This window comes from Homo sapiens, chromosome 12, assembly GCF_000001405.40.
Source record: "Homo sapiens chromosome 12, GRCh38.p14 Primary Assembly".
NCBI classification, from domain to species: Eukaryota; Metazoa; Chordata; class Mammalia; order Primates; family Hominidae; genus Homo; species Homo sapiens.
This window is the reverse complement of record NC_000012.12, coordinates 56,977,085-57,004,984: the sequence shown is the minus strand read 5'-3', so window position 1 is coordinate 57,004,984 and position 27,900 is coordinate 56,977,085. Positions and strand designations below refer to the sequence as shown.

Genomic DNA, 27,900 nt, shown 5'->3' with positions numbered 1-27,900 from the left:
TCTTTTTCTCTTGCTATCCACAGATTAACTGTGCTGATAAGGAGGTAATTTCATAGGAGCTGCTAAGATGGGCATGAGGATCAAACTGCAAAGCACCAACCACCCCAACAACCTGCTGAAGGAACTCAACAAGTGCCGGCTCTCAGAGACCATGTGCGACGTCACCATTGTGGTGGGGAGCCGCTCCTTCCCGGCCCACAAGGCTGTGCTGGCCTGTGCAGCTGGCTACTTCCAGAACCTCTTCCTGAATACTGGGCTTGATGCTGCCAGGACCTATGTGGTGGACTTCATCACCCCTGCCAACTTTGAGAAGGTTCTGAGCTTTGTCTACACTTCAGAACTCTTCACAGACCTGATCAATGTTGGGGTCATCTACGAGGTAGCTGAGCGTCTGGGTATGGAGGACCTCCTCCAGGCCTGTCACTCTACCTTTCCTGATCTGGAGAGCACTGCCAGGGCCAAGCCCCTGACCAGCACCAGTGAGAGCCACTCTGGTACCCTGAGTTGTCCTTCGGCAGAACCTGCCCATCCCCTTGGAGAACTCCGAGGTGGTGGGGACTACCTTGGTGCTGATAGAAACTATGTGTTGCCCAGTGATGCTGGAGGGAGCTATAAAGAGGAAGAGAAGAATGTTGCCAGTGACGCTAACCATAGCCTGCATCTGCCGCAACCGCCCCCACCACCGCCAAAGACAGAAGACCATGACACCCCTGCTCCCTTCACGTCCATTCCTAGCATGATGACCCAGCCACTCCTAGGCACTGTCAGCACGGGCATCCAGACCAGCACGAGCTCCTGCCAGCCATACAAAGTTCAAAGCAATGGAGACTTCAGTAAAAACAGCTTCCTCACCCCTGACAATGCAGTAGACATTACCACTGGGACCAACTCCTGTCTGAGCAATAGTGAGCACTCCAAAGATCCTGGCTTTGGGCAGATGGATGAGCTCCAGCTCGAGGACCTGGGGGATGATGACTTGCAGTTTGAAGACCCTGCTGAGGATATAGGCACAACTGAGGAGGTGATTGAGCTGAGTGATGACAGTGAGGATGAGTTGGCTTTTGGAGAGAATGACAATCGGGAGAATAAGGCCATGCCCTGCCAGGTGTGCAAGAAAGTTCTAGAGCCCAACATTCAACTGATCCGGCAGCATGCTCGGGACCATGTGGACCTGCTGACGGGCAACTGCAAGGTCTGCGAGACCCACTTCCAGGACCGAAACTCCCGGGTAACTCATGTCCTGTCCCACATTGGTATTTTCCTTTTCTCCTGCGACATGTGTGAAACTAAGTTCTTTACCCAGTGGCAGCTGACCCTTCACCGACGGGATGGAATATTTGAGAACAACATCATTGTCCACCCCAACGATCCCCTGCCAGGGAAGCTGGGTCTCTTTTCAGGGGCAGCCTCCCCAGAGCTGAAATGCGCTGCCTGTGGGAAAGTATTGGCCAAAGATTTCCATGTGGTCCGGGGCCACATCCTTGACCATCTAAACTTGAAGGGCCAGGCCTGCAGTGTCTGCGACCAGCGTCACCTTAACCTCTGCAGCCTCATGTGGCACACGCTGTCCCATCTCGGCATCTCAGTCTTCTCCTGTTCTGTCTGTGCGAACAGCTTTGTGGACTGGCATCTTCTAGAGAAGCACATGGCTGTGCACCAAAGTCTGGAAGACGCCCTCTTCCACTGCCGCTTGTGCAGCCAGAGCTTCAAGTCAGAGGCTGCCTATCGCTACCACGTCAGCCAGCACAAATGCAACAGTGGCCTTGATGCACGGCCTGGTTTTGGGCTGCAGCACCCAGCTCTCCAGAAGCGGAAGCTGCCAGCAGAGGAGTTTCTGGGTGAAGAGCTGGCGCTGCAGGGCCAACCTGGGAACAGCAAGTATAGCTGCAAGGTCTGTGGCAAAAGATTTGCCCACACAAGCGAATTCAACTACCACCGGCGGATCCACACGGGGGAGAAGCCATACCAATGTAAGGTGTGCCACAAGTTCTTTCGAGGCCGCTCGACCATCAAGTGCCACCTAAAGACACACTCGGGGGCCCTCATGTACCGCTGCACAGTCTGTGGGCACTACAGTTCCACCCTTAACCTCATGAGCAAACATGTTGGTGTGCACAAAGGCAGCCTCCCCCCTGACTTCACCATCGAGCAGACCTTCATGTACATCATCCATTCCAAAGAGGCGGATAAGAACCCGGACAGTTGACTGGGTCCCGGCAGAGCCACGGGGAGCTCCCAAGCAGCAGCCAGGATGCTGATATCTAAGAGGTGTTGGTCCCTCCCCAGCTGAAGTTATAATTTTGCCTTGGTAGGAATTCTGTTCTGTGTTGTGTTTAAAGAAGAAAAGAAGAAGAAATAGCACATAAGCTGTTACTGTTGTTGAGAAGCAACAGCCCTATCACATTTACCTCCATACCTGTTCTTGCCCATGCAGGGCTATGTTTTTCATTCTTTTGAGGCTGGTTTTGGGATCTAGTCAAGCAGTTGGTGTCCACTAGACCCCCTTCCCCAGCCTCTCTAGTTTTAGTTTACTGATAGGTTTTATGCTGCTAAGAATCCAACCAACAGCCTCACTTAACAGAGGAGGTAAAGGGAGGTTTTCACTGTGGGTGTTACTGCAGGCCTCCAACTGGGATGACCAGCAATGAGAAAGATTTTGGGAATGTGATCATTCAGAAAAGACAGGTCAGCAGGGCAGTCCCCTCAGGTTCCAGCCCTCAGCAGGGACAAGACATCAGGGATGTTGGTGTCTGCTTATCTACAGCCCTAATCTGCTGATTGAACAGTGAAAATCTTTTGGCAGCTAGATCCATACTAGGCACAGAGCTTTCTATTTAGGTCAGAAAGCTTTGGGATGAACCCCTGCCAGCCAGAAGGGGTGTCCTGCAGTGCCACCAGAAGTGGCAGCCTGGATGGACAGGAGAGGTTTCTCTTTTCTCCTCATTTCCAAAGAAACAGGATTTTATGGAGTGATGGCCCGGGACGTCCGGCCTTCTGTGGGGCAGAGAGGATAGGGAACCACTTTGATATAGTCATCTGTTTTGGCCACTTCTGTTGGCCATGAGTGTCTTGGTGGAGAGGTGGGGATGTATCTGACAGCAGCAGCCTTGCCTTAATTTATATCTGGTCTCCCGTCCAGAAGTGTTTGGCCCGTGGTGTAGATGAGCTGACTCCATGAAGTGGTGGAGTGGCAGACCGCGAGCCCTTCAGGATTAAAGGGACCTGAGTAACTGGTGGTGTGTAGCAGGGTGTGCGTTCTGACTGTCTGTCCTAGTCGGGTAACCTGTTTACTTTGTGCTAACAGTGCCGGAGCTTTGTCAGCTCACCTTTGACCTGCTGGAATTTATCCTGATCTGTCGTTGCCATCACCTCCAGGGGGCGCTATTGGATGGCAGCTGGTTCAGGCCCTCCGTGGGTGGCTGCAGAGTGTGCCGGCACAGCCCACGCAGCTGGTTAGCTCCACTCTTACTTGGTTTTCTAAGGGGCTTTGCCCAAAGAAGTCTTGAGGGATAGGGCCCTCGATCTTGCATACTTGTGAGGTGCCACCTCAGTAGCTCATACTACCTCACCCTGCTCAGGTGAGCTCTGGGAGTCCCTGGCCTCAGCCCTGGCACTGCCCCTGGTGGGATTCAGCAACACCCCGGGCTGTTTCACAAGCAAGTGGTTTTCATTAACTCACAAAGCCTTTTTGGACATTAATATTTATTTATTTTTGTTTTTGTATACACATTACCCAGCATCTCTTTTGTATAAGAGACTTTAGGAAAATGAGTTTCTCCCCAGCAAGTAGCCATATTCCAGAGAACAGCCTTGACCAGAGATGTGGAGAACCAGGGGTATAACTAAGGGAAGACATGTCAAGCCCTTAAGCAAATTCTTCTTCTCCAGATTGTCTCTAGCATAATAAACCCAGGGAACACTTTAGGCCATGGGTGTATGTTCTATAAAGTTCGGGACAGTTAAATTCCAGGCCTTTCATCCCCCTTCCTTCCTGTGATGGAGTAGATTGGGGACAGGGTTGAGGGGAACAAGTGACATGAATGACCTATTTGCACAGTTTGGAAGCCTCCTGTCTTTATTTATATTGAGATGTCAGACAAACCAAAGCTCCATCCTTGTTGGACCTGCTGCTTCTCCCCAGCCCTGAACTGATAAAGCCTCAGAGTTGGAGTGCCTGGCTCTCTGGTGGGGTGACCATTAGATGAAGGGACTTGTACAGTGGCCAGTTTAAAGGTCCACCTTTGACCATCTAAACCCACCTTGTTCAGTGTCCTCTGAGGACATCCTCATCAGGAAAGCAGTGTTGAGACTCTTCATTGCTGACTGGCTTCTCCCTTTCTTACTCACACTGACCATTAGAATTTAAGAAGGAAATGTGTAACAGACTACAGTCAAGTGTCTGCTACATTTTCAAGCATGAGCAATCCCTCCCAGACTGTTGGTGAGGACTGATTTTTGAAATGCTGGTGTGAGAGAGGTGGTAATTACAGGAACCAGCCGAGTGGCTGAGAGCAGATAAATGTGCTGGAGAAACCTTTTTCCTTAACAGAGGGCATCATGGATGCTGGGTGGTCTGTGTACTTAACCTGAAACTGTGAAGTTTTCCCTTTTTGCCAGTAAACCAAAAAGCAGATCCTTGAAACTTGGCCCTTGAAACACGAAACAGAAAACTGCATCCCCTGATCCCCCGGGGGCTGATCAGATTGATCAGGGTGGCTCAGTTGGTCCCAGTCAGATACGTCATAGGATCAGTAGCTCATGAGATTTGTTGACCAAACCCTCTCCCTGTTGGTGACCCCTGTATTCACACCTGAACTTCCCGTTTCCCCCCACCCCACCAAAGTCATGTCTGCTTCCTCTGCCTCCAGCTCACCCTCTTCTGAATGGTTTTGCTTGAAACACTATATTGTGGCAGAGGGCACCCTGGGATACCTGGTAGAAGGTATTCATTTTATTTTGCATTTTTAATTGTTTTGACTTTCTGTTCATTTGATTTTGTTGCTCCCTCTCTCCTGGAACCTAGTTTACTACTCTCTTCTGTGTTACTCTGAAGTTCTGTTTAAGCCTTGAACATCCTCTTCTCCCATTTTCTTGGTATGTACTCAGGACCAGCTACATCATTTGTGGAGCCCTCTTATTCATAAATTATTAAAAATTTCAAGGTGGTGGTCATAGAGCATTAAACCAAATATGAGGCCATTCCCAACTTGTTTTCCGAGGGGAAAATGGTAATACTTGTGTGGCACCCGGGGTTAAACAGCAGAGGCTCCATGTGGCCAGAGGCAGAGATTAGTATCCTGGCACTCCAGTGACCCACTGGGTGACTCACTGATGCCACAGCACCCGCTAGGAAGCTCTGCTGAACCTTAGTATTTGGTCCTAAATTTTATGACTCCATGGAGTTCCCGTAGTCCATGGCTAGTTAGGAAGAAAGGAGGTGGGATAAGGGTCAGGCCCAGGTGACCCCTAAGAACCAGGAGATGGGTAAAAGTTTTTTTTTATATTCTGCTTTTCTGATCTGTGAGTACCTGTTTGTCTCCAGGCCAAACCTTTGGGCTTAAATATCTTTTTCCTAGACAGGTTTTTGCTAGTGTTGAATTTTCTTCTTCCTCTGGCCTCCTTCTGTGCCCCTTTCCCCAAGCCCAAGACTGCTTAACTTCCAAAGCAAATTCTAGATAGACACTGTATTTATTGGTATGGGAGTGGGCTCTATGGGGTGGTCTGCACCCATCTGGGACTCTTTTCCCTAAATCCTGCACCAAATGAGTCAGGAGGCAGGGTGCACAGCATTAGTTTCAATGTGGTTATGCATCATAAGCTTAACATCAGAATGAAAATGAAACTCGATTTTGATGTTTCTTTAAAACCCTTCCCCTGTCCAATCCACTCGCCGCCCCCACCTTGAATAGCTAAAGTCTCTTATGAAACAGAGAAGAGTTGTTGACGTCTAACTCCTTCCATTAAATTAATAAGTACTGACCTCCTAATATTTAAGTGTTTACTATCTATTGCTGTAAAGTTTTGTATATTTTGTAAACTTTTTTCCCCAAATAGTAGATGTCTAAAATCATTGTACATCTGATTCTTTTATATTCCATTGTTCAGCACAAAGTGTGGTTTTTATTTAGAATAAAAAAAGAAATTTGAAATGAGAGTTCTCTTCCTACCTACTATGAATATGCTCATACCTGGAGTTCAGAATATCTGGGCTCATCACCCTTTCAGCAGCACATTTCTGCCCAGCAGATGCCAGAATTCTTTCAGGTAGCACATTTTCCTTTCCTGTAGCTGGAATTCCCCAGGATTAACTTGTTGACCTGTTTTTAGTGGGAAATTAAGTCAAAGACTCAAACTTTTCAGGGGGTATCCCTGAGAGGATCCTCCGTCAGCCCAGAGAGAGTGGTGGGTCCCTGCCCGTGTCTAGTTGGACTAACGTTACTAAGTGAGAGATTTGGCTACAGTTTGTCTTGCCAATGCCATTTGATTTGCGGGGACATGGTGTGTCTTTGAGTGGAGCGAGGCAGATTGAAACAGGGAGGAGGCAAAAGTTTGGCATAGTTTAATGAGGTTGATACATGCGTGAATCCACAGAGGAGACAGACCTCAAGAAGTTAGGGAGTGATGTCCATTTGGCCCCACAGCACATGGCCCAGGCAGGGCTCCCATCAGTGCTCAGTAGATGCTGAGTGTAACAGCTGGTTCCCACTCTTCCCCTCCATGGATGGGAGGCCTTAGGGAAGTATTCATACTGCCAGGGTGATAACTAATCTTGGGAGCGTGGCCTCTAAGGTGATCTGGAATGTGACAGAGATGTAAAATTTGGTTTCCTTCAGGAAACTCCTGTAGCCCAAGTCAGAGGAGGCAGTGATATGGGCATCAGATCTTGGCTTGCTTTTTTGTGTTGGGACAAGAGAGGAAAGTCTTTTTCAATGTGAATTCTGCATTGATAGGCTAAGCCCTTACTGCGACCCAAGCCACAACCCAGACTCCTGGTTCAAAAAGCCTTCAGCTCTGTGCTACTGAGAAGCTGTCTGCAGCTTAAGACCCTTTCAGGTTTGGGCCCAGTAAACAGGGAGATGCAGGTTTCCTTCCATGCTCCTGACAAACCTGGGTGCATATGCAGTTGGAGCACGCTGTCAGTGCATCCACAGAACAGTTCTGATTTCTCAAAGTAGAACAGGTGGTCTCCAAGTCAGTGAGTAGTTACTCCAAGTTAAACATTCCAGACACATGGAGCACTTAAGCAGGACAGAGGAGATGGTGAAGAGGCTATCAGTGATTCCATCCAGTCCCCTTACCACGGGCAGGATTAAGAGGCAAAGGACGTGGAATTGGAAGGCGGAAACTAGATCCTGTTCTTAGGCCTTTACTTCAGAGTTCTTCATGGACAGGGTCCTAGTCTCCCAAACATAAGTGATCCTTTTCCAGAAGGTCTACTTGTTAACAGAGGACTTTTTTGTTTCATCTGTAGAACAAGTGTTAAGGAACCTAAGTTGTGGGACAGGAAAATTAGGAAAAGACATGGCCAGGGAGAACTGACTTATAACAGTGTCAGAGCTCTGCCCTGTGACGGAATTGAGAAGTTTCCACTGTGGCCTTCCCCATCTGGTGCCGGGGACAGAGGGTGAAGGACAGAGCATCTGCCAGCACCTGCTGCTGGCTGTCCCAAGGGCTGCTCCCGGAATGACATCCCTTGATACTTTCCTATGATCTGGAGAGAAAGAGATGGGGGTGGGTTGGGCTTTCTGGTAGCTCTGTGTCTCCCTAGAAGTCTGGAAGTTTCCTAGATCCGAAGCTGGTAAGAGGTCAGCTATGAGGAGCTGACTCTGGGACAACTCCTCTTGCTTGTGGGGAGGGAGCAGGATGGACAACGGGGAGGGGAGGGTGTCAGCAAGGAAATGGAGCTGTGTTTCCTGGATGGCCGCGGGTGGAGATACCATCCTGCTGACCCAGCTGCAGGGTGCAGGTCTCAGACCTTGGCTTCGCCCCCACCCCTGCCATCCCCATCCGCCTTCACTTATCATGGCTGTGCATAGGATGCACAGCTAGGGAACGTCCTGCTGGGGCCGCCTGGTTCCTTGGCCTCTGGCCTCTTGTCCCCATAACCTGCATAGTGAGCTGGAAGATCAACAAGCTCACAAACGCAAAAGGAGTTTTGTGAGGTTCCTGCAGAGTTCACTGTTTCCAGCCAGAGTGATTTATGAAATGAATGTGTCTAGTTTCCTCTGCCGAGCACCTCTTTAGCCTCAGCTCCCTTCCCAATCCCAGCTGGAAGTGCAGATTTTTAAAAGATCCAGAGTCCATGGCTATCTCTTCCATTTATTTCACCTTTTTTTCTGCATTGCTCCTTAGACACAAGGACCGAGACAAATAGTACAACACTGAGGGCCTGCTCTCTATCGCTCCTGATCCTGTCTCTCTCTCCACACCTCAGTATTTTAAGATAGATTCAAAATTGACCACGAGTGCTTTGACCCTCCCCTCTACATCCCCCCAAATCTCCCACCTATACTCTCACCTGTGCCTTTTCCTTCACTGTTGGAGGAGTCTGGCCTCTACCTCAGCTGGGTGTAAGAGGCTGAGTGGGAGAGATGGGGGAAGTATTTGGAAGCAAATGGTGTGCCTGAAAGCTCAGGCTTGGCTCAGGGTGGGGGGCTGCTGCAGCAGGCTGGCTATCACCCTTGGTGATGATGATGGAATGCTGGGTGGAACAGGAGGAAGAGGAGGCGCATGTGCCCGCCTTGGTCTGGTCCTTAGGAAGGTAATGGACTACAGCATTCAGGAGCCGGCCCCGGAAGTGTGGGCTGAGAAAGTTGTAAAGGATGGGGTTGATGACACAGTGCAGCATGGAGAAGCAGTCAATGACATCATAGAAGAAGTAGAGCAGGTGGACCAGGTGGCAGTGGAGGGAGATGTGGGTCCCATGCAGTGTGAGCAGCAGCAGGGTCACATGATAGGGCAGCCAGCACATGACAAAGACGGCCACGTAGGCGCACAGCAGCAGGCAGTGGCGCCGGCTCTTGGGTTGTCCTGGCTGCCGCAGCCGGCAGGCTGTCAGCACATTGAAGACTGTGATGAGAGGGAAGGGCAGCAGGAAGCCCAGGATGGTGGTGGACAGGGCCACCGCCAGGGCCCAGGTGCTGTACGTTTCAAAAGGTGCCATGAAGAGGCACATGGGCTCAGGGCCCTCCACCAGCTGGATGTGGACCACCTCAGGCAGCGGGATGATGGCCGAGAGGACCCAGATGCCTGCACACATGGCCCGCCGCACTCGGTGCTGGTAACGCTGCCAGGAGGGGGAGGCGCTGGTGAGGGTGACATAGCGGTCGACACTGAGGCACACCAGGAAGAAGATGCTGCTATACATGTTGACAAAGTAGAAGTAGTGAGTGAAGCGGCAGGAGAAGCTGCCCCAGAGCCAGGTGTAGTCCAGCGTGACCTCCAGCATCCACACGGGCAGAGACAGGACAATGCCCAGGTCCGCGATGGCCATGTTGAGGATGTAGAGGTTCATCAGCCCTGCCCGGCCTGAGCCGCGCCAGTTGACGCATATCACCAGGAGGTTCTCCACCAGCCCAACCACAAACATGGCCAGGTAGAGGGCAAAGAGGACCACGCGCTTGGTGCTCTGGCTGAGCTCCACGTGGCACTCAGACAAAGTGTGGTTGAAGAGGTCAAGCAGCTCGGTCCAGTTGTGGATCTCTCCAAGGTCACTGGTAGGCACTGCGGTGACCCCCTCCGAGGGGCCAGGCCCCCAGCTGGGTTTCACTGACATTGGGACCAGCACACGCCTATTGGGATGAAGGGAGGGTTGGAAGGGAAAGCAGACCTCGAGAGCCTTGTGTCCTCAAGGTAGAGGCCAGAGGGAGTCGGGGGCTTTGGGGAAAGATTCTGGGGCTAAGGCAAGAAAGGGAAGTTTAGCTTTCAAACTGTGAATAAATAATACACAACTCACTTGCTAGCTCTGACCCAAGAGCAGAGATACTTTCTTAAGGGGTTTCAGCTGGAAGAGGCCAGGACTGTTGGTGTCCACCAACATTTCTCCCCACCCCCAGCCAGTTCCCCCTCAACAACCCCCTCAATCCCCCCACACCCACCATTCCTAGGTGGTCTCCAACCTCCACCTCTCTCCTGGCACTTCATTCCTCAGCCCTTTTGCACAGATCTTTATTGCTCTTTTTCTGTCTTGTTATTTGGACCGTGAGTGTGGAACACACACACACACACGCACACCACACAATCTGATTCATCCCTAGGAAAACCTGTGGATCATGCAGGATAGCCAGTTGTCTCCAAGCCCTGATTCCCATCTTCCCTGGGAGAGGGCGACACTCACCTGAGTTTCCCTTGGGAGCCCCTCGGTCCTGGAGGGAGGGCCGGCAGGTCCAGGCTATGGGGAGCTGTGAGGAGGCTGGGGGGCCCTTGGCTGTGGGGCTGGCTTCCCTGCTGGCTTCACGGCCGCCCTTCTCATCCGGGAAGTAGCTGTCACTGCTGAGGCTCTGTAGGGAGGGATGGGGTTTTTCCTGCATTCCCCCAATCCGGTTACAGGGGATGTCCCAGCAAAAGACCCGGTGTGCCAGTGGCGGGGAGGTCATACTGCCAGCATTAAAATCCCAGCTCCTCCCTCACCCGCTGAATGAATTTACCTCTTTCCTCAGCCTCAGTGCTCTCCTCTGCAAAGTGGGGTCTATTATCTACTAAAAGGGATGCTTTGAGAATTAAAGGAGCTGTTGAGGGAGGGAAAGTGCTTAGCTCAGGTGGGGCCTGTGGCAAATGCTTTACGTATGTATGTATTTTCCTCTCCCTAAGTCAGCTTGGAATCCCTCTCTCCCCTGTCTTGATTCCTACTAGAGTGAAATTGGATGTGGGGGTATAGGGGAGGGTCAAAATAAATCTGAACATCAGTTGGGCTTTTAATAACTCTGGCCCACCCCTGCCATTCTCCCCAGCCCCTCACAGGGCTGTGAGCTCCCTGCCTTCATCTTGTGATTGGAGGTGAGAATCTGGGAAAGAAAAGATTGAATGGCTGGGCATGGTGGCTCACGCCTGTAATTCCAGCATTTTGAGAGGCTGAGGCAGGAGAATCGCTTGAGCCCAGGAGGCGGAGGTTGCAGTGAGCTGAGATCAGGTCACTGCACTCCAGCCTAGGTGACAGAGTTAATAAAAAAAAATAAAAATAAGATTGAATGCGGGGTGTCAAGGGGGCTTTGTCAAAGCTTCAGGGAGATTCCTGAGTAGGGAGGGAGAGAGAGAATGGCGCCCTCCCCCTGTGGCTCTATACTTCTCTGCGTGAAGGGTGTGGTGGGTGGCTGGCAGGGGATGAGCAGGGGATGGGGCGTGGGGTAGGGAGAGCAGACTTCTCTCTCCCGCCAAGCTAGAGGGTAAGGGACTCTAAGCCACGTGTTATGGGTAAACATTTTGTGTCAGCAGAGCTTCCTGCCCTTCAGAGCGCTTTCACCTCACTTCATCTCGTTGGATTCTGGAGATACCCCTGTGGGGAGGATGGATTTCTTCACCCTCTTTGAGGCCCAGAGAAGTTGTCTGTTACACAAGCCACACTTGGCAGATGGCAGAGTGGCCTAGGCCTGAGCCAAAGGTGTGTCGGCTGGACGGGATTGAGTATATATTAAGTCGAGGTGAAATTCCCATAGCATAAAATTAACCATTTTAAAATGTGTGATTTAATGGCATTTAGACATGCACATTGTGCAAACACCACCTCTGTCTACGTGCTAAACATCTTCATTACCCGCAAAGAAAACCCCATAACCATTAAGCAGTCAATCCTATTCCCCCCACCACCAACCTTCTGCTTCCTGTCCCTGTGGATTTACCTATTCTGGATACTTAATAGAAAGGGAACCATATCATATGTGACATTCAGTGTCTGTGTTTTTTTTTTTCCACTTAGCATGTTTTCAAGGTTCATTCACTTTGGAGCATGCATCCGTACTTCATTTCCTTTCATGGCTGAGTAATATTCCCATATATATATATATATATATACACACACACACACCACATTTTCTTTATCCACTCAAAGAGAACATTTTTTAAAAGTTTGCTCACTGATTCTTTTATTATGGTAAAATATATGTAAGGTTTACCACGTTAACCATTTTTAAGTGTACAATTCAGTGGCGCTAAGTGCATTTACACTGCTGTGCAACCATCAGCACCATTTATCTCCATGGAAGGGAATATTTTTCATTTTGTAGTTTTGTAGTTTTCTTAAACCTTCCACTTACATATCAGATCACTCCAAGATCACAAAATCTATCATGGCCGGTGCAGTAGCTCACACCAGTAATCCCAGCATTTTGGGAGGCCGAAGTGGGAAGACTGCTTGAGCCCAGGAGTTTGAGACCAGCCTGGGCAACAAGATGAGACCCCCATCTCTACAAAAAATAAAATAGCCAGTTGTGGTGGTACAGTCTGTATTTGGGAGGCCGAGGTGGGAGGATCGCTTGAGACTAGGAATTCAAGGCTGCAGTGAGCCATGATCACCCTGCTGCACTGAAGCCTGGGTGATGGGATCTAGAGAGCTAGATCCCATCTCCTAAAAAAAAAAAAAAAAAAAAAAAATAATGGGCTAGGCTAGGTGGCTCATGCTTGTAATCTTGGCACTTTGGGAGGCTGAGACAGGTGTATCACCTGAGGTCAGGAATTCGAGACCAGCCTGGCCAACATGGTAAAACCTTGTCTCTACTAAAAATGCAAAAATTCCAGGCGTGGTGGTGCATGCCTGTAATCCCAGCTACACAGTAGGCTTAGGCAGGAGAATCTCTTGAACCCAGGAGGCGGAGGTTGCAGTGAGCTGAGATCACGCCACTGCACTCCAGCCTGGGCCGTGGAGTGAGACTCTGTCTCAAAAAAACAAAACAAAACAAAAACAAAAAACCATCATGATGAACCATGACAGTGTGAAATGTGGCTTACTTCGATTTTTCAGTTAGTTTTGCTCTTATTCTCTCCCTTTAGGGTCTTAGTTTCTATCCCATTGATATTTTTCTTCAGTAAGGAGCCTTCTGAGAATTTCCCCTTCCCACTACATGCTTTTGACCCATGCAAATGAAGCCTGTCCTAGATCAAGCACCCTCCAAGGAAGGCCCTGGTCTGGTCTTTGTCCTCTCCAGATGGCCACATCTGTGACCACTTCCGTTCCTCACAAGACTGCCCTTTAGTGGCTCCTGTCTCCTGGGTCTCTGAATTGTCCTTCCCATATGGAGACATCCCCCCTGCAGCCTCACCTCTACCTGCTGCCTTCTCCCACCTATTCCTGTCACCCAATGTGTATTTGTAGAAAGAGGAAGTGATGGTGGTTCCTTCTGGCAGAGGCTCAGAGGGAAAGCTCCTCCCTCAGGAAGAAATAAGTGATAGCTCTGCAGTTTTCATGTGGGGCTTTTTAGGGGGTGGGGTGCAGCTGGAAAGAGAGAGACTGGGAGGAAGAGAAAGAGGGAGGAGCAGGAGGCCAGGCTCCTCGCCAACCTGGGCAAAAGGAGCAGGCCAGCAGCTTTGCCCTATGCAGCAGAAACAGCAGCAGTGAAACAATTCCTGGAAATTTACTCTTTTTCCTCCCCGCCCCACTTTTTTTCCCCAAAAAAGTGTAGACAAGATTTTGCGATCAACAATCAGAAAGGAAGGAAGGTACCAGGGAGGAGGTATTGGGAGGCAGAGATAAAGGCAGACGACTTTCCAGGGTCAGGTTAGGCAAAGGGCTGTGCTTGGACCCTGGCAGAAGGGGTGAGGCAGGCTGTCCCAGGGATCAACCCACGTGCCTGGCTTATGGGGTGGAGGCAGGTGCTTTGTGGACAGGTTAAGGCTGAGGGATTTGGCAGTAATTGCACTCGCGTCCACAGTGTGAACTTCCAGAAGGCCACTGAGTCAGGAAGCCAAGTCTAGTCGTGGAGGTTGTTCTGCCCTCCTGCCACCAGCTTCCCCAAGCTAGAGAGGAATCTGGTTTGCCCAGAAGTACCAGATTAGGAGCTTTCCAGGCTCCTCAAAGCCTGTGCCCCACTACCCTGTCCTTGGCTCTCTCTGCTCAGTTCTTCCCTCTTCACCGGCCCTTCACGAGACACTGTGGAGATAACACCAGTTTTTGAGTCAGACCTGTTTTTGACACTTTTTTCCACCACTTGGTAGCTGTGTGATCTTGGGCAGGTCACTTAACCTTTCTGAATCTCAGTTTCTTTTCTTTTGTTTTTTGTTTTTAAATATTTATTTGTACAGATTGATGTGGTACATGTGCAGTTTTGTTACATGAATAGGTTGCATGTTGGTCAAGCCAGGGCTTTTAGGGTATCCACCACAAGCATAACATGCATTGTACCCATTGACTAATTTCTCATCATCCACTCCTCTCCCATTCCCTCTTCCTTCCAAGTTTTCACTGTTTACCATTTCACTCTCCACATCCATGTGTACACATCTTTTAGCACTCACATTATGAGTGAGAACATGCAATATTTGATTTTCTGTGCCTCGATTGTTTTACTTAAAATAATGATCTCCAGTTCCATCCACATTGCTGCAAAAGACATAATTTCATTCCTTTTTATGGCCAAATAGTATTCCATTGTGTATATATACCACATTTTCTTTATCCTTTTATTCGTTGATGGACACTTAGGTTGATTCCATGTCTTTGCTATTGTGAATAGGGCTGTGATAAACATACTAGTGCAGGTGTCTTTTTAATGTACTGATTTCTTCCCCTTTGAGTAAATACCCAGTAGTGGGATTGCTGGGTCGAATGGCAGTTCTACTTTTAGTTTTTTGAAAAATCTGCATACTGTTTTCCATAGAAGTTGTACTAGTTCACATTCCCACCAGCAATGTCTAAGAGTTCTCTGTGCTCCACATTCTTGCCAACATCTGTTTTTTTTTTTATCTTTTTAATAATAGCCATTCTGACTGGGGTACGATGATATCGCGTCATGGTTTTTATTTGCATTCCTCTGATGATTAGTGATGTTGAGCATTTTTTCATATATCTGTTGGCCATTTGAAAAATGTCTTTTGAAAAATGTCTTCTTTTGAAAAATGTCTATTCATGTCATTTGCCCACATTTTAGTGGGATTATTTGTGGGGTTTTTTTTTTTCTTGCTCGAGTTCTTTGTATATTTTGGATATCTCCCCTGTCAGATGAATAGTTTACAAATATTTTCTCCAGTTCTGCGGGTTGTTCATTCTGTTGCTTATTTCTTTTGTTGTGCAGAGCTTTTTAGTTTAGTTAAGTCCCAGTTGTTTATTTTTGTTTTTGTTGCCTGTGCTTCTGAGATCTTAGTCATAAATTCTTTGCCTAGTCCAATGTCCAGGAGACTTTTCCTTATACTAGATAGTAGATTTTTCCTGCAATACTAGATTTTCTTCTAATAATTTAATAATAGTTTTGGGTCTTATATGTAAGTCTTTAATCCATCTTGAGTTGATTTTTGTGTCTGGTGAGAGATAGGAGTTTAATGTCAGTTTCTTAATATGTAAAGTGAGGATAATGATGCTTCCCTTACAGGTTATTATATGGGATACATGAGATAATATATACAAGCATGCTCCTTTTCCACTTCATGGGGATAAGGAAAAAGGAATCCCATCTTGTGGAATTGACACTGAGAGACCTCTCTAGTCCTATTACCACCAGCCATTTTTTTCCTCTCTGAATTAGATCAACATGAGCCTCCTCTTTTATTTGGCTGTCTTGGGTTGTGTTTTTTACATAGAAGGGTGGGAACATTCCCAAATGTCACTATGAATTACCACAGAGAAATGTAGTAATAGTAACAGCTGATGTTTATTGAATACGCACCATTGGCTAGACACAGTTGTAAGGGGCTTTATCCATATCACCTCATTTAATCCTCATAACAACTTCATGGAGTGGGTACTACCATCGACAAGGAAACTGAAGCACAGAAACTTTAAATAACTTGCCCCAGTCACACAGCTAGTAGGTCAATAAGCCCATATTACAAGGATTCTTGAGCTGGATTCCATGCAGCTAATGGTTTTAGGTGTGAACTGTATGAAAAGTATAAGCAAGTTTTTGATTGTTGTGTTATGTGGGGGGCTTATAACCTTCCTTAGATTCTCGAAGGGGCCCATGATGTCCAAAAGCTTTAAAAAAAAATGACCCTTGGAGAGCTTCTGCTAGACTGGGGTCAGGATAAAAACAGCAATGTTGGGTATCCACTTGTGTGGAGCTGACTCAGCCCTGGGAATTCTAGGAAATTTCTTGCATGAGGAAGGAGGTGTCTCCTTCATGAAGGCTGAGGGATTTGTAGGATGATCTCGGAGGGATTTGAAAAGGGGAAAGTGAATGTCTTTGCTTCCCATTCCCTATCTTTCACTAGATGAAGGACAACTGTTTCCTCTGTGATTTCCCAAGTGTGAGAAGGGAGGGTGTGACATCAGTCTAAGGAAGAGGAAGCTTGAAAAGACTGATAAGAGACTGGAAGGGCCCCAGGTACTATTAATATCCCTCTGCCGCCTACAGCACTAGCAGCCTCCCCGCATGCCGCCACCCTTCCCCCTTCCTTTGGTCTCCTATCTCTCCCAGCTTCTGTTTCTCCCTCACTCTCCCATCTCCTGATCTGCACCCCTCCCCCAGCCTCTCTGTAGATGTGGTAAGTCTCTTGTTGGTTCCAGATTTCTTCCGTTTCTGTTAACTTTTGTTGAGCACCTAATGTATGCTGGTCAGAAATTCTCCAGTGCTTCCCAAGACCCCATCTTTCTAAGTTTTCACCATTTTAATAAAGGCATATGGATTCTTAGACTCCCTGAAATTGGAGATGGGAGGACTTGACAAAGTCATCTTGATTCTCCTCCCTCGTTATAAAGATGAGAAAAATGGAGGCTTTAGGAAATCTCATATTGTCGCATGATGTAAGAAATAGTGATGAAAATGGAAAGCGAAGCCAGATGTTGCAGTGTCAGCTACCTCAACATTCCTTCATCTCTGCTAGAAGCTAGCACTGCCGGGGCTGGAAATACAAAAATGACTGGACTCAGTCTCGGAGCCCTCAAGGGGCTCCGAGTCTGTCAAACCTCTAGTATGCAGCACACTCAAGGCACCATCCATGTTGCTTAATTAACAGTAGTCCAGTCTCTTACCAGCCAGCAGTCTTGCTGTTTCCCTCCTTCTTGGAGGATCCGTGCAGGGAGATATGGGGGCTCCCCGATGCTGGAGAGAGTGGCCATTGGGATGAGCTGAAGAGCCTTGGCTGATCCCAGGCCGATGCCCACGTCGTGACTGCAGGGCTAGAGAAGAACCACCAGGGGGCGCGCGGCTCTTTGCTAGCCTCTGGTTTCTGCAGGAAACCTCTCCTTCCCCCTCCCAGTCCATCTCCACTTCTTCCTTCAATTAGGGGACAGAAATTGGGCAAACATGGACAGTGGGAGAGAGGCCCAGTGCAAATAAACCCTGGATTATTCTGTCCCACACCTACTCCCCCAGCTCCCTGCCCCTCTACATCCTGCCCACCAGTTATGAAATAGTTTCCTCGACCTCACACCGAGGGACCCTCCATGGACAGCAGAGGTCCAGTCTGTACCCCTTTCTGTAGTCTCCTGAGAAGGAGATCCCTCCTGTCCATCAACACCCTGATACAAACTGAAGTAATACCTTTACAGTTACTAGGGTTCATATCCTTCCCTGCTTGGGCAAGGTTTTGGACCACCATCCTCATTGTCCTTGTTCAAATGAGCAATGTTTTTAGCCTCTCAGTGTCTGAGGGGTCCAGATCCTGGATGTGGGCCCTGACAGGGGAGGGCAGAGGGCAGTGGAGCCAGCACCCAGGGCATATCAGGAGGTGAGCAGGTGAGCCCTGTGACACCTGCATAAGTCATTCCATTCCCCTTCCCAGCAGCCCTGGGTACTTCCTTCCTGTGGGTTCCAAGGCTCCATTCCCTTCTTTCCCCTTTCTTTACCTGTGAGGTTGGACTCTCCCTGTGGGTGTTCCACATCTTTCTGCCCCAGAAAACTACTGTAGCAGGAGGGGACTTGCTCTTGTTCACTTTTTTGCCTTCTCCTTCTCATCCTAGAGAGCCTGATCGTGCCCTACTTTTCTGGGGAGTGATTGATTCTGGATGCTGGGTGGGATGAGGAAACTCAGGCTCAGAGCAGGATTTCCACTGAATGTGCCTGGAAACCATGTGTAGCTTCCCAGTAAAGTCTGTTTTCTGGGAGACCATGGTCCAGGAGTGTTGGTATACAATGTGTGTTAGGCCGTTCTTGTGTTGCTATAATAAATACCTGAGACTGGGTAATTTATAAAGAAAACAGGTTTAATTGGCTCATGGTTCTGCAGGCTGTACAAGCATGCATCTGCTTGGCTCCTGGTGAGGCATCAGGAAGCTTATAATCACTGCAGAAGTCAAAGGGGGAGCTGATTTGTCACATGGCAAGTGGGAGCAAGAAAGAGAGAGCTGGGGAGGTGCCACACTTTTAAACAACCAGATCCCATCACAACTCATTCCAGTGTCTCCAGGACAGCACCAAGCCATGAGGGATCCACTACCATGACCCAACACCTCCCACCAGCTCCTGCCTCCAATATTGGGGAACGCATTTCAACATGCAATTTTGGTGGCACAAATATCCAAACCATATCACAAGATATGTAGAGACAAGTTCTGACCCTTGTTTGTAGATCAGAGTGGTGTGTTTCATGGTGTGTGTGTGTGGGCCCCTGTGTGGACACCTGAGTAGGCACAGCAAGGCAGAGAGGCATTGGTGGACTAGGGAAGCATTGCTGAGTAGTGATAACTACTCACTGGGCAGAGCTTGGGGTTTGCAGTTGCATGCATGAACACCTGCAAAGGCAGTTGAAAGAGCAGAGAGATGAAGCCAGGATAAAAAATGGTGCAGAAAGACAGTGATCAGAGAGGAAAGTGAGGACTTTCTGCCAAAATGCCTGAGGGCTTCCCTGCCTACCTCAGCCCTCTGTGTTCTTAAGTCCTCCTGTCTGAACAGAGGCCAGACTCTCACTTCACCCCAGCCCGTCTGGGTCTGTCCTCTGCAAAGCCATGTGGCTCTACCTGGCGGTCCTCCTGGGCCTATACTACCTTCTGCACTGGTACTGGGAGAGGCAGGTGGTGAGTCACCTGAGAGACAAGTACGTGTTCATCATGAGCTGTGACTCACGCTTCAGGAAGCTACTGGCCAGACAACTGAATGCACAGGCTTGCGGGAGCTGCATGTAGGACAGAGAAGGGGACCAAGCAGCTGAGGGGCCAGACTTCAGACAGGCTGGAGACGGTGACCATGGACATCACCAAGACAGAGAGCATTGCTGCAGCTGCCCAGTGGGTGAAGGAGTGTGTGGGGGACAGAGGGACCACCTCAATCCCTCCTAGTGCCTGTTTGTTTCTCTTCTCTCTGTGTCACTAGGGGAGACCTAGTGTCTGCTAACTGGGAACATTTCCAGGACTTTTATTTTCGGGGGCTTGAGCTTTCTGTTTTCCAAAGCAGAAGTCCTAGAGTGGTTGTGGCTGGGCCCAGGGTTAGAGGAGTCCAGGCTGTGGTTAGAGCCCAGTCTCTGGATAACGTTGGGTCCTGACGGTTGGCATGAGACCATCGGGGATGGGGCTGGGCAGGATCCAGGCTTCTGATCTCAGCATTCTCTTACTGGTTCCTTCACACTTGTCCCTGTTGAGGGCTTTAAGATGATCTCCGCTTGATTCACGAGGACACTGGGGCTTGGAGAGCTGAAGGGACTTCACATCAAACACCGAGTGATGAATCCTGTTCCTTTTGGGGAAAGGGAGATCATTGATTGCTTTGTTCTGATTGTAAATGGAAAACATGAAGAAATTATAGAAGAGGATAAGATTGGATAGATAGGAGGATAAGATAGGATTTCTCATTGGAGAAATCATAGAAGAGGATGAGAGTGAAACAACATTCCCCCTAATCCCAGCCTCCAGGGTTAATTTCCCTCTACTTTACACATTCTGGGGTCAGCATTTTCATCATCAAGTTTCTTCCCCAACATAACAATCAAGGTCTCCATATTCCAGCATGTGGAGAGGCCATAATTTGTTAAAGGGATTCTATATTGTTGAATGCCGAAGTTTGTTACCCACTTTTCCTGGCATAAATAACATCTCAGTAGCGATTCTCTACCAAGGTTTGTTGACAGGCTTAGCAGTGCTATTCAAGAAAAGTACAACTATTGAATCAAAGAATCCTCATTCCTTCAAGTCCAGGAAAGGTTTCTGAGTAGGGGAAGGGCCACCATTGCAGGCCTTATTGTTTTTCCAATATTCCTAGGGTCAGTCTCCGTCTCCTGTACCCCCCAGCCCTCACCCACTCACACCCCTGCCCCTGCTGGCCTGGAGTCCGTAGTTCTGTAGCTCTGACTACTCCAGATCTTTCATGCTATTAGTTTGCTCCCCTATGTCTTCTGTAGAGTCTTCCCCAAAGCTTGCTGGACCCTATGGGGATAGGGCAGAGGTGGCCTTATGAGATGGTGGGAGGAAAAGGTGGTACTTCCTGGGGCAGAGAGTGCAGTCTGGACACCTGTGTGGCATGAGACCTCTTTCCCTCCTCCCCTCCTGCTCTGGCCATTCAGTCCACAGTGAGCTTTGGGATTCCCAGGTACACAAGGTGACCTTTTCTTCCAGGACAGATATTGCCTTGACATTGATGCAGGTTGTAGCACAGCTTGTCCCCTGATGCCCAGTGCAGGCCTGCTCTCTAACTTCCCCTAGTCTTAGGATTTAAGTGTATCTCTCCTAAACAGGATGCAGAAAGTAATTACTCATGTGTTTTTCTTATTCTTTCCTTTTTCTTTTTCTCTTCTGTCCTTTCCCCTTGGTTTCTCTGTCTTAGCCCATTCCTGTCTTCCTATTTCCTGTCTCTGTCTCTCTCCCCTGGAGAGATATTTGTTGGACCCTCATTCTGTTTTCTCAAGTTCTGTCCATGCACTTCACAGCATTGGCTTTACTGCATGCTGGGTGCCAGGCACTAGGAGCAGAGATGGGAAGGACCACCCCTCACCCCCCAATACCTTGAAATGGGTGCAAACCTTGAAACTCTGAAGCCTCCCCATCCTTGTTTCCTCTCCTCCACTCCTTTCCCTTATTCCATGTAGCACACTTGTTGACTCAATAAATACATTGAACTAGAAAATGAACTTGCACCCTAACTGTGTCCACCTGCACAAACACAAGAGTGATGCTCTCATCTTCTGGCCATCCCAGGACTCTGGGGCCTGGTGAATAACTCTGGCATCTGCCTGCCCTCCAGCTGCAATGAGTAGTTGATGGAACAGGACTTTGTGACCTGTTGGTCACAAAGTGACCAACTTTGTGATGGAACTGGACATGAACCTGTTGGGGATGATTGATGTGACTCTGATCCTGCTGCCCTAATGAGGAAGGCCAGGGGCTGCATGGTCAACCTCTCCAGCATCGCAGGCCGGGTTTCACTTTTTGGTGCAGGCTACTGCATCTCCAAGTACAGCGTGGAGGCCTTCTCCGACTCCCTCTGGTATTGGCCTGGGACAGGGCCCTCCCTCATCCTCCTGCACCTGTTCTTCTGTGGGAACCATTTGCAGTAGTTTTATGTAATTGTAGCCTTAGAGGCCCCTTATTGAGATCCCTCTCTCTCATCCTGTGTGTGCTGTTGCCCTTATGGATTTAGCCAGCCACTTCTTGGGAACAGCTTCTCCATGTTCTGGGGAGGGAGGGGCCCCAGACCAAACAGTTCCTGTAACTCACCTTTGACCCTATTGAGGGGGTCCCATAGGCAGAAAATGTCTGAGGCAGACTGGAACTGACATGTTTGGCTCCAGAGCCCAGAATGAAGCCACTGTGACATGCAGTTGCAGGGAGCCTAGGAGACATGGGGTGAGCATCTTAGTCCATACAACAGACTTTTTAGGCCCTTGGATGAGTGCCCAATAAACTCAGCCCAGGACAGCAACAGGGTTTTGGCCCTGACCTAAAAGCTCTGACACCTGAGAGAGGAGCAAGAGAGCCAGAACCATTGTTGCCAGTTCTCAAAGGGGTTGTGACCCAGTCAGCCCTGGTGGCCATGGCAGCCTCCTGGATTGGGGAAGCTCCTGGAGATGGGGTCTGAGCTGGAGATTGAGGATCCCCACCTGGCAGCCTTGGACAGAAATGGGGGAATGACTTTTGTCTTCAGCCCAGGCCTAGGGGGAGCCTCAGCTGCCTGCCTGTGCTGTGGGGTCCTCATGAGGTGAAGCACAGGGCCAGGCCTGTGGAGGAGGCTGGGCAGGTGGGCGCATATGGGCTCGTGGAGGCCCTGGACAGGAGCTGTGCCTCATACTGTTGGCAGTGGAACCCCCAAAAAAGGGATTTGCTCAGGGGAGCTCTTTGGTCTAATCGGCTTCTAGACACCCACTTACTGCAGGGAGCCCAGTGGCTGTGAGTGTGGGGAGCCAGACTGAAGGCAGAGGGACGCTCCTTAGAGGACAGCTGCCATCACCCAGCTCAGAGGCCAGGGAGATTCCTGGGGCAGGAGAAGAAGGGAGGGGACTGAGGACTGCAGAGGAGGTAGAATGTGGGAATTCTGGTGATCCATTGGATGTGAGGGGCATAGGAGGTGATAGCACTGAGATGCTGCCTTGCTCTTGAACTGGTAGGACTTAGGGCTAGTAAGCTTTGGTATGTAAAATATGGAAACCCCAGAGAGAGGCAAGGCCACCATCATAACTTTTATCTGCTATCTGCTGCCCTTCCCAACTCTCCAAGCTTTCTTGCATCTCCCACTGTCGTTGCATGCTGGGTTTGTATTGGGTTTCTTTGTTTTTTGTATTTTGCCTCCCAAAATTTCTTAAGTCCTTGCCCTTCTGCATGTCTGCCATGCAGGAGGGAGCTCTCCCACTTTGGAGTGAAGGTGTCTGTGATTGAACCTGGTCACTTCAGGACCAGTATGGCCGGCTCTGAGAGGCATTTACAGAACCTCAAGGAGCTGTCGGACTAGGCCAGCCCCGAGGTCAAGGAGACGTATGGGGAGAAGTTTCTGATATCCCGTGAGTGAGCTGTGGACAGTGGGGAGATAAAGAAATCCTTGTCTAGAAGTCTGGGTCCATCATTAGTGCCTCCAACAGTATGAGAATCTGTCCTCCAAACTCTGCCTCCCCAACAAAGTGAGGACATTTAGTCCATTTAGCTGTGTGGTCAACTGGTCACCTAAAAGAAGAATTGAAGCTCCTATAATTGAAACCACTGGCTAATCTGAACCTCTCGTTATTTTGAAGAGGAAACTAAAGCCAGAGAGGGTGGACACCTGTGGGCTCATGGGCAGCTGGGTTTAGAGACAGCTGATTTTCATGTTCTTAGGCTGTTAGTAGAGACCTTCAATTTATGCAGTCCAGATATCTCAGGAAGAGAGGCAGAGGGGGCTTAGTGTGGAACAGGTTTTGCTGCAGTGAGGGTTGGGGCACTCCCTGGGGAATATGGGTGGATTAGACTTGAGGCATATCATTGAGGGGCCCAGGGATTCTTAGACACTCTCCTTCCAATTCAGAGCTCTAAATGGGAGGGGAGGGATGTGCTAGTACATTAAGGATGTTTTCTCATTCTGAACAGGCCTCAGAAAAGCACCTAGGAGCCTTTGGTCAAAATGCAATACAAATCTATCATTGGTGACTGACTGCATGGAGCATGTGCTGACCGCCTGCCACCCCTGCACTTGCTACACAGCTGGCTGGGACACCAAGCTTCTCTACCTCCCCATGACCTACATGTCTACCTTCCTGGCGGATGCCATGCTCCACTAGGTTCTCCAAGGCTGGCCAAGGGCCTGTGAAGCCAAGACTCAGGTGCATGTTTTCATGGATTTGGGGTATGCCATAAGGGGCGATGTATCATGGGGAGAGAAATAGGTTACCCCTGTCACAGAAATAGACCTAAGGACAAGCCAGCAAGGAGATGTCAATAAGGCACTGGCAGGCCCCAGGTCCCTTCCCTGGGGCAACTGAAGCCTCCTCCCCTCACCTGTGCCCTCTCTGTGGCCCTCAGTGACCGGCCCTTACTTTAAAGTCATTGCACTTTCCCTGTTGCCATCCCTCAAGGTCCCCCACCATATCCCAACACACCCCCTCCTCCAGTGGCAGGGAGTGAAAGTCACGTCTGGACTCATCTTTCTTGTTTTCCCTCCCTTTGTTGAGCCCCTGCTGTGTGCTGGAGAGAAATTATCTTGAATTACCTAGTCCTCATCCTCAGTGTCTTCGGTGTTCTGATGATGTTGCAAGTGTGAACTCAACAGAGAAAGCATTAGGAGAAAGGGGTACAGATTCCTGGGCTCAGTACAAATTGTAGTTACAGGGTACCGTCTCTGGTTTCTCATTTTACTGATTTCAGGTTAAAAGTCCAGGATATGGAGCCTTTAGAGAGCCCTGTGTCATTGAACAAATCATGTTCAGTGTAAAAACAGGTAGTGAGGTCAGATGTTGCAGGGCCACCGAATTTAAAACACGTAATGAGGCTGGGTGTGGTAGCTGACACCTGTAATCCTAGCACTTTGGTAGGCCAAAGCGGGTGAATTATCTGAGCTCGGGCATTCAAGACCAGCCTGGGCAACATGGCGAAACCCAAACTCTATCAGAAATGCAAAAATTAGCTGGGCATGTTGGTGCATGCCTGTAGTTCAGCTACTCAAAAGGTTGAGGTAGGAAGATCACTTGAGCCTGGGAGGCAGAGGTTGCAGTAAGCCAAGATGGCGCCACTGCACTCTAGCCTGGGTGGCAGAATGATACTCTGTCTCAAAAACAAACGAAGAAAAAAACCCCAAACAAACAAAAGACATGCAATGAGGAGAGGATGGAGAAAGATGGTGGAATAGAAGGCTTCACAAATCCTTCTCCACTCCCCACCCCTACCAGGACAACAAGTTAACAACTATCTACACAGAAAAGAACACCTTCATAGAACGAACAATCAGGTGAGCACTCATTTTACCTGGTTTTAATTTCATATTGCTAAAAGAGGCACTGAAGAGATAGAAAAAAACAGTCATGAGTCACAGACACTGTCCCTCCCCAAACCCTGGCTGCAGAGGCATGGTGCTGAGAGTGCCTCTGAGTGCTGGGGGAGGGAGAACACAGTAATTGTGAGGCACTGACCTCAGGGCTGTCCTGTTAGAGCAGAGAGGAAAACCACACCAAACTCAGCTGATGCCTGCCTGGGGAGGGAGCATTTAAACCACCCCTAGCCACAGGGGAATCGCTGATCCCAGCAGTCCTAACTTGAGTGCCCATGAACCTCGCCACCAAGGGCTACAACATTCTGTGTCTCCAAGTAAACCTGAAAGGCAGTCTATGTCATAAGGACCGCAACTCCTAGGTGAGGCCTAGTGCAGAACTAGGCCCAGAGACAGTGGATTAGGGGGACATGTGACATACTGAGACACCAGCTGGGGCAGCCAAGGGAATGTCGGCATCACCCCTCCCCTAACTCCAGTCTGCACAACCTGAGGCTCCAAAGGAGACCCCTTTTTTCTACTTGAGCAGAGGAGAGGGAAGAGTGGGAAGGGTTTTGTCTTGCATCTTGGATACCAGCTCAGCTACAGCAAGATAGGGCAATGATCAGAGTCATGAGGCCCCTGTTTCAAGTCCTAGCTCCCATATGACATTACTAGACAGACCCTGGGCCAGAAGGGAAAGGACCCAATGCTAACAGCATTCATCACCTGCTATCTGAAGAGAACTTGGGCCCTGAATAACCAGTAATTCCTAGGTGCTAATCAAAGGCCTTGGGTGAGCCTCTGAACCTTGATGGCTTCAGGTGAGACTCGGGACATTGCCAGCTATGTTGGCTATGGAGAGAGACTCCTGCTTGAGTAAAGCAGAGAGAAAAGTAAAGGGACTTTGTCTTACACCTTAGGTGCCAGCAAGACCACAGTGGGGTAGAGCACCAAGTGGGCTATTGTGGTTCCTGATTCTGGGACTTGACTCTTGGATGACATTTTCTGGACATACCCTGGGCCATTGGGAAGCCTGCTGACCTGCAGGGTGAGTTCCAGGCCAGGCAGCATTCACCACAAGCTGATTGAAGAGATGTTGGGCCTTAAGGGAACATCGATAGTTGTCTGGCAGTACTCCCTGTGGCCTGGGGTGGTGGTGGCTGCAGGTTGAGGCTCCTCTGCCTTTGGAAAAGGAAGGGAAGAGTGGGAAGGACTGTGTCTTGTGGTTTGAGTGCCCACTCAGCTACAATTTAGTAGAATATCAGGTACACTTCTAAGGTTTTTGACTCTAGTCCTTGACTCCTGCACAGCACTTCTGGACCCATATGGGGTATGGGGTACCTCACCATCCTGAAGGGAAGGGCACAGGCCTAACTGACTTTGCTACTTGCTGACTGCAGAGCCCTAGGGCCTTGAGCAAACACAGGTAGTAGCCAGGGACCGGGTACAGCAGGCCTTGGGCGAGACCCAGCACTGTGCTGGCTTCAAGTCTGATGCAATGCAGTCATAGTGGTGGTGACACAGGGGTGCTTGTGTCACTCCACCCCCAGCTTTAGATGGCTCAGAACAGAGAGAGAGATTCTGTATGTTTGGGAGAAAGTCAGGGAAGAGAATGAGACTGGTATTCCAGAGAATTCTCTCAGATCTTGTCCAAGACTATCAAGGTGGTACCTCTACCAGTCTGCAAGAACCATAGCATTACTAGGCGTGGGGTGTCCCCTAAAGCAGATACAACTTGGATCACAACACCTAAGTATTTTCAAATATTTGGTAAGCCTTCCCAAGAATGACAGTTACAAATAAGCCCAGACAGTGAAGACTACAATAAATACCTAAGTCTTCAATTCCCAGACACTGAAGAACATCTACTAACATCAACACCATGAAGGAAAACTTGACCTCACCAAATGAACTAAATAAGGGACCAGGGACCAATCCTGGAGAAACAGATATGTGACCTTTCAGACAAAGAATTCAAAATACCTGTGTTGAGGAAACTCAAAGAAATTCAAGATAACACAGAGAAGAAATTTAGAATTCTATCAGATAAATTTAATAAAAAGATTGAAATAATTAAAAAGAGTCAAGCAGAAATTCTGGAGCTGAAAAATGCAATTGGCATATTCAAGAATGCAGCAGAGTTCTTTTTTTATTTTTATTTTTTATTTTGCTTTAAGTTCTGGGATGTGTGTGAATAATGTGCAGGCTTGTTACATAGGTATACACGTGCCATGGTGGTTTGCTGCACGCATCAACCCATCATCTAGGTTTTAAGCCCCACATGCATGAGGTATTGTCCTAATGCTACGCCTCCCCTAGCCCCCCACCCCCTGACAGGCCATGATGTGTGATGTTTCCCTCCCTGTGTCCATGTGTTCTCATTGTTCAACTCCCACTTATGAGTGAGAATATGTGGTGTTTGGTTTTCTGTTCCCGTGTTAGTTTGCTGAGAATGATAGTTTCTAGTGTCATCCATGTCCCTGCAAAGGACATTAACTCATTCTTTTTTATGGCTGTATAGTATTCCATGGTGTATATGTGCCACATTTTCTTTTCTTTTTTTTTTCTTTTCTTTTTTTTTTGTGACAGAATCTGGCTCTGTCGCCCAGGCTGGAGTACAGTGGCATGATCTCAGCTCACTGCAAGCTCTGCCTCCTGGGTTCATGCCATTCTCCTGCCTCAGCCTTCCGAATAGCTGGGACTACAGGCGCCCACCACCACGCCCAGCTAATTTTTTGTATTTTTAGTAGAGACGGGGTTTCACTGTGTTAGCCAGGATGGTCTCGATCTCCTGACCTCGTAATCCGCCCACCTCAGCCTCCCAAAGTGTTGGGTTTACAGGCAGGAGCCACTGTGCCCAGCCATGTGCCACGTTTTCTTTATCCAGTCTATCATTGATGGACATTTGGGTTGGTTCCAAGTCTTTGCTATTGTAAATAGTGCAGTAATAAACATACGTGTGCATGTG

General features: G+C 48.9%; 2 protein-coding genes, 1 long non-coding RNA gene and 1 pseudogene across 8 annotated transcripts in view, besides 1 other annotated feature; 3 read left to right on the top strand and 1 right to left on the bottom strand.

Annotated features, from left to right (window-relative positions):
* The window catches only part of ZBTB39 (zinc finger and BTB domain containing 39), a 7,711-nt gene extending 1,562 nt beyond the window's left edge, over positions 1–6,149 (top strand). The window contains exon 2 of the mRNA NM_014830.3: positions 24–6,149. Within this exon, the coding sequence (NP_055645.1) occupies positions 68–2,206 (2,139 nt within the window). The 5' untranslated portion in view covers positions 24–67 and the 3' untranslated portion in view covers positions 2,207–6,149. The remainder of the gene's footprint in view (positions 1–23) is intronic.
* On the bottom strand, positions 6,108–10,493 carry ACKR5 (atypical chemokine receptor 5). 5 transcript variants are annotated; one of them, XM_047428198.1, is made up of 3 exons: positions 10,337–10,493; positions 8,519–9,791; positions 6,108–6,317 (listed from the first exon to the last, which is right to left on the bottom strand). In XM_047428198.1, the coding sequence occupies exon 2, from the start codon at positions 9,773–9,775 to the stop codon at positions 8,561–8,563; it is 1,215 nt and encodes a 404-aa protein (XP_047284154.1). In that variant the 5' UTR covers positions 9,776–9,791; positions 10,337–10,493; the 3' UTR covers positions 6,108–6,317; positions 8,519–8,560. The 5 variants fall into 5 exon arrangements, with proteins under 5 accessions (XP_047284154.1, XP_011536129.1, XP_011536126.1 ...); XM_011537827.4 differs by lacking the exon at positions 6,108–6,317 and adding an exon at positions 6,538–7,711; XM_011537824.4 differs by lacking the exon at positions 6,108–6,317 and adding an exon at positions 6,538–7,488.
* LOC124902945 (uncharacterized) lies at positions 9,591–27,900 on the top strand. Of its 2 annotated transcripts, XR_007063333.1 has the most exons (4): positions 9,591–9,716; positions 11,431–11,596; positions 23,558–23,790; positions 24,853–27,900. It is a non-coding gene; the product is annotated as an uncharacterized LOC124902945 (long non-coding RNA). The 2 variants fall into 2 exon arrangements; XR_007063332.1 differs by lacking the exons at positions 9,591–9,716; positions 11,431–11,596 and adding an exon at positions 15,129–16,463 and having other exon boundaries at positions 23,558–27,900.
* Positions 13,017–13,831: a transcriptional cis regulatory region, noted in NCBI's record as "candidate enhancer chr12.2240 targeted for multiplex CRISPR interference". NCBI's record gives its function as "positively regulates TAC3 gene expression in K562 cells {active_cell/tissue: K562}" and the evidence as "EXISTENCE:mutant phenotype evidence [ECO:0000015][PMID:30612741]".
* LOC390332 (retinol dehydrogenase 16 (all-trans) pseudogene) lies at positions 18,827–23,852 on the top strand (annotated as a pseudogene).